At 40.4% G+C, this 5,736-nt stretch overlaps 1 annotated feature.

Annotated features, from left to right (window-relative positions):
* Window positions 1–501: an enhancer, noted in NCBI's record as "H3K27ac hESC enhancer chr7:37843212-37843712 (GRCh37/hg19 assembly coordinates)". NCBI's record gives its function as "activates a minimal SCP1, AML or CMV promoter by ChIP-STARR-seq in naive H9 embryonic stem cells {active_cell/tissue: H9 hESC(naive)}" and the evidence as "EXISTENCE:reporter gene assay evidence [ECO:0000049][PMID:30033119]".

Below are 5,736 nucleotides of genomic sequence, written 5' to 3' on the forward strand. Positions count from 1 at the left end.
TATCCCTTGTATCACTGCTGTCATTCATTTTACTTGTATGTAAGCATATATAAGCACAGATAGACATATATGCATAAGATATACACATAAGTATACATAATTGAATGCATAGTTGCTATTATTATTTTAAACAAACTGTGCTGTGGAGTGAATGAAGACACTGATTGTTTTGCTTGTACCTCCAGCACACTGAAGCCACCATATTCAAAGGAGTCCAGTCTGTCTTCCTGGTGAGCCCCTGACCTCTCTGCTCTTCATCCCCTGGCTTGGACCTGCAGCACAGCCATCCTACTTCCACCTGAATGTTCTCATTGGCAGCAGCTCCATGTCTTTCTGGGGTGGAGTTCCCCGAGGCAACTGACAGCCCCCTATAACTGCCACTGCAGTGGATGCCCACCCTTGCTGCCACCAGACTGGGCAAGGAACAAAGAGCCCGAGTGCTTTATTCACACCTCCATGCCACAGCTGCTCTATGGAGAAGAGGCCAGACTGATTTTACAGCAAGCCTCCAATCCTCCAGCTCTTCACCGGGAAGGGCCGCCTGGCTTGAGGCCCACAATGCAGCTGCCCCACCCCCAGCTGATCATTTTGATTGGTAGCAGCTCTGTGCTTCTCTGGGGTGAATCCTTCAAAGACAAGTGAAAGGCCCTCTGCCATTGCCACTGTCAAGGTCCCCACCCCTGCCACCCCCAAGCTAGGGAGAGAACAAAAAGCTTGAGTTCACAAAGGGGCTACAGTGCACAGCCTGGGAGTGCCAAGCTGAGATATATGGCCAACACTTGAGTGGGAGAGGGGCCCACACTCTCAGAGCACTGAGAGAGAGCATAGCTGCAATTGAGGAAATACAGAGGAACCATGTGGCTGGGTAAGAGCCTATCTACCAGCCATTACGGTTAAGTGCCATCTACTGGATGGAAGCCCAAACTTTAACACCAAAAATACATTGCTAACATACCTCCCCATAAAATTAAGGACAAGAATTCAGCCACAAATAAAGACCCTGCACAAAGCATCAGCCCTCTGAAAACATCCAGAAACAAATTCAACTGACTGTACTCAAATTACACCACAGTTAAAGGCACATCAGCCCACACAGATGAGCAAAAACGCAGGGAACTCTAAAAGCCAGAGTGTTTTCTTATTCCCAAATGACCACACTAGCTCCTCAATGATGTAGGAGTTAAAAAGAAATTACTTAGGCAGACAGTGAGGTAAGAAAGTCTTTAGTAAGGTTTTCCTTTTAATGAAAAGCAGCCCCCAAATCATTTTCTTTTCTAACAAAGAGCAACCTGTAAAATCGAGCTGCAGACATAGAAAGGCAAGCTAGAAGTTTGCACGGGGAAGTGATGGCAGCTATGCCAGTAGGAAAGGAGCTACCTGGGGACTAGGCATGTTCAAAATGTCAGCTCCTTCTTTCCTTTTCTTTGCCAAACCATATGTACAGTAAGGCGAAGACAACATGGCGCTGACAGGGCAAATATCCCATTTGCATAATAAGATTAGGGTGGGGAAGCCAGCTTCCTCACATGCTATGTAAATGTCACCCTAGTCTAATCAATCTTTGGGTCCTATGTAAATCAGACACCGCCTCCTCAAGCTTTTTTATAAAATCCTGAGCACTCCACTGTGGGCCAGAAGTCCCATTTGGGCACCCCTCTCTAAAGCAGGAGAGAGAAGTGTTCTCCTTTTTCTTTCTTTTGCCTGTTAAACCTCCGCCCCTAAACCTACCTCTTGCATATGCATACTTGATTTCCTTGGCATGAGATGATGAACCTTGGTTATTTACCCCAGACAATGATGCCGCTTCACCAGTGATGGTTCTCAACCAGAATGAAATGGCTAAAATGACAGACATAGAATTAAGAATCTGGATAGCATTGAAGATCATTGAGATTCAGGAGAAAATTGAAACTCAATCCAAGGAATCTAAGAAATCCAGTAAAGTGATTCAAGAGGTGAAAGGCAAAATAGGTATTTTAAGAAAGAACAAAACTGATCTGATAGGGCTGAGAAACTCACTAAAAGAATTTCATGACACAATCAGAAGTATTAACAGTGGAATAGACCAAGCTGAGAAATGAATCTCAGAGCTCAAAGCACAGTTCTTCAAATTATTTTAATTTCAAACTATTTTAGTCAGACAAAAATAAAACAACAAAGAATTTTTAAAATGAACAAAACCTTTGAGGAATGTGGGACTGTGTATAGAGACCAAACCTACAACACATTGGCACCCCTGAAAGAGAGAGAGAGAGAGACCAAGCAACATAGAAAACAAATTTGAGGATATTATCCACAAAAATGTCTCCAACCTCACTAGATAAGTCAACATTCAAATTCAGGAAATTCAGAGAACCTCTGTGAGCTACTTTACAAGACAAACATCCCCAAGACACATAGTCATCAGATTCTTCAAGGTCAATGCAAAAGAAATTATGTTAAGGCAGCTAGAAAGAAGGGGCAGGTTAACTATAAAGGGAACCCCACAACATTAACAATAGACCTTTCAGCAGAAACCCTACAAGTCAGAAGAGATTGGGGGCCTATATTCAGCATTCTTAAAGAAAAGAAATTCCAAGCAAGAATTTCATATCCAGCCAAACTAAGCTTCATAAGTGAACGAGAAATAAAATCTTTTTCAGATAAGCAAATGCTAAGGGAATTAGTTACCACTAGACCCGCCTTACAAGAGTTGCTTAAGGGAGTGCTAAATATGGAAGTGAAAGACCACTAATGGCCACCACAAAAACATACTTAAGTACATAGACTATTTACACTGTAAAGCAACTACACAATCAAGTCTACCTAACAACCAAGAACATGATGACAGGATCAAATCAGCACACATCAATATTAACCTTGAATGTAAACAGGCTAAACACCTCACTTCAAAGGCAGACTGGCAAATTGGATAAAGAAACAGGACTCATAGATAGCTCTTATTATTTTGAGATACGTCCCATCAATACCTAATTTATTGAGAGTTTTTAGCATGAGGGGTTGTTGAATATTGTCAAAGGCCTTTTCTGCATCTATTGAGATAATCATGTGGTTTTTGTCTTTGGTTCTGTTTATATGCTGGATTACATTTATTGATTTGCGTATATTGAACCAGCCTTGCATCCCAGGGATGAAGCCCACTTGATCATGGTGGATAAGCTTTTTGATGTGCTGCTGGATTCGGTTTGCCAGTATTTTATTGAGGATTTTTGCATCAATGTTCATCAAGGATATTGGTTTAAAATTCTCTTTTTCAGTTCTGTCTCTGCCCGGCTTTGGTATCAGGATGATGCTGGCCTCATAAAATGAGTTAGGGAGGATTCCCTCTTTTTCTATTGATTGGAATAGTTTCAGAAGGAAGGTACCAGTTCCTCCTTGTACCTCTGGTAGAATTCGGCTGTGAATCCATCTGGTCCTGGACTCTTTTTCGTTGGTAAGCTATTGATTATTGCCACAATTTCAGCTCCTGTTATTGGCCTATTCAGAGATTCAACTTCTTCCTGGTTTAGTCTTGGGAGAGTGTATTTGTCTAGGAATTTATCCATTTCTTCTAGATTTTCCAGTTTATTTGCATGGAGGTGTTTGTAGTATTCTCTGATGGTAGTTTGTATTTCTGTGGGATTGGTGGTGATATCCCCTTTATCATTTTTTACTGCGTCTATTTGATTCTTCTCTCTTTTTTTCTTTATTAGTCTTGCTAGCGGTCTATCAATTTTGTTGATCCTTTCAAAAAAACAGCTCCTGGATTCATTAATTTTTTGAAGGGTTTTTTGCATCTATTTCCTTCAGTTCTGCTCTGATTTTAGTTATTTCTTGCCTTCTGCAAGCTTTTGAATGTGTTTGCTCTTGCTTTTCTAGTTCTTTTAATTGTGATGTTAGGGTGTCAATTTTGGATCTTTCCTGCTTTCTCTTGTGGGCATTTAGTGCTATAAATTTCCCTCTACACACTGCTTTGAATGTGTCCCAGAGATTCTGGTATGTTGTGTCTTTGTTCTCATTGGTTTCAAAGAACATCTTTATTTCTGCCTTCATTTCATTATGTACCCAGTAGTCATTCAGGAGCAGGTTGTTCAGTTTCCATGTAGTTGAGCGGTTTTGAGTGAGTTTCTTAATCCTGAGTTCTAGTTTGATTGCACTGTGGTCTGAGAGATAGTTTGTTATAATTTCTGTTCTTTTACATTTGCTGAGGAGAGCTTTACTTCCAACTATGTGGTCAATTTTGGAATAGGTGTGGTGTGGTGCTGAAAAAAATGTATATTCTGTTGATTTGGGGTGGAGAGTTCTGTAGATGTCTATTAGGTCCGCTTGGTGCAGAGCTGAGTTCAATTCCTGGGTATCCTTGTTGACTTTCCAATATCATACTGAATGGGCAAAAACTGGAAGCATTCCCTTTGAAAACTGGCACAAGACAGGGATGCCCTCTCTCACCACTACTATTCAACATAGTGTTGGAAGTTCTGGCCAGGGCAATCAGGCAGGAGAAGGAAATAAAGGGTATTCAATTAGGAAAAGAGGAAGTCAAATTGTCCCTGTTTGCAGACGACATGATTGTATATCTAGAAAACCCCATTGTCTCAGCCCAAAATCTCCTTAAGCTGATAAGCAACTTCAGCAAAGTCTCAGGATACAAAATCAATGTACAAAAATCACAAGCATTCTTACACACCAATAACGACAAACAGAGAGCCAAATCATGAGTGAACACCCATTCACAATTGCTTCAAAGAGAATAAAATACCTAGGAATCCAACTTACAAGGGACATGAAGGACCTCTTCAAGGAGAACTACAAACCACTGCTCAAGGAAATAAAAGAGGATACAAACAAATGGAAGAACATTCCATGCTCATGGGTAGGAAGAATCAATATCGTGAAAATGGCCATACTGCCCAAGGTAATTTATAGATTCAATGCCATCCCCATCAAACTACCAATGACTTTCTTCACAGAATTGGAAAAAACTACTTTAAAGTTCATATGGAACCAAAAAAGAGCCTGCATTGCCAAGTCAATCCTAAGCCAAAAGATCAAAGCTGGAGGCATCACGCTACCTGACTTCAAACTATACTACAAGGCTACAGTAACCAAAACAGCATGGTACTGGTACCAAAACAGAGATATAGATCAATGGAACAGAACAGAGCCCTCAGAAATAACGCCGCATATCTACAACTATCTGATCTTTGACAAACCTGAGAAAAACAAGCAATGGGGAAAGGATTCCCTATTTAATAAATGGTGCTGGGAAAACTGGCTAGCCATATGTAGAAAGCTGAAACTGGATCCCTTCCTTACACCTTATACAAAAATCAATTCAAGATGGATTAAAGACTTAAATGTTAGACCTAAAATCATAAAAACCCTAGAAAAAACCTAGGCATTACTATTCAGGACATAGGCATGGGCAAGGACTTCATGTCTAAAACACCAAAAGCAATGGCAACAAAAGCCAAAATTGACAAATGGGATCTAATTAAACTAAAGAGCTTCTGCACAGCAAAAGAAACTACAATCAGAGTGAACAGGCAACCTACAAAATGGGAGAAAATTTTCGCAACCTACTTATCTGACAAAGGGCTAATATCCAGAATCTACAATGAACTCAAACAAATTTATAAGAAAAAAACAAACAACCCCATCAAAAAGTGGGCGAAGGACATGAACAGACACTTCTTAAAAGAAGATATTTATGCAGCCAAAAAACACATGAAAAAATGCTCACCGTCACTGGCCATC

This window comes from Homo sapiens, chromosome 7, assembly GCF_000001405.40.
Source record: "Homo sapiens chromosome 7, GRCh38.p14 Primary Assembly".
NCBI classification, from domain to species: Eukaryota; Metazoa; Chordata; class Mammalia; order Primates; family Hominidae; genus Homo; species Homo sapiens.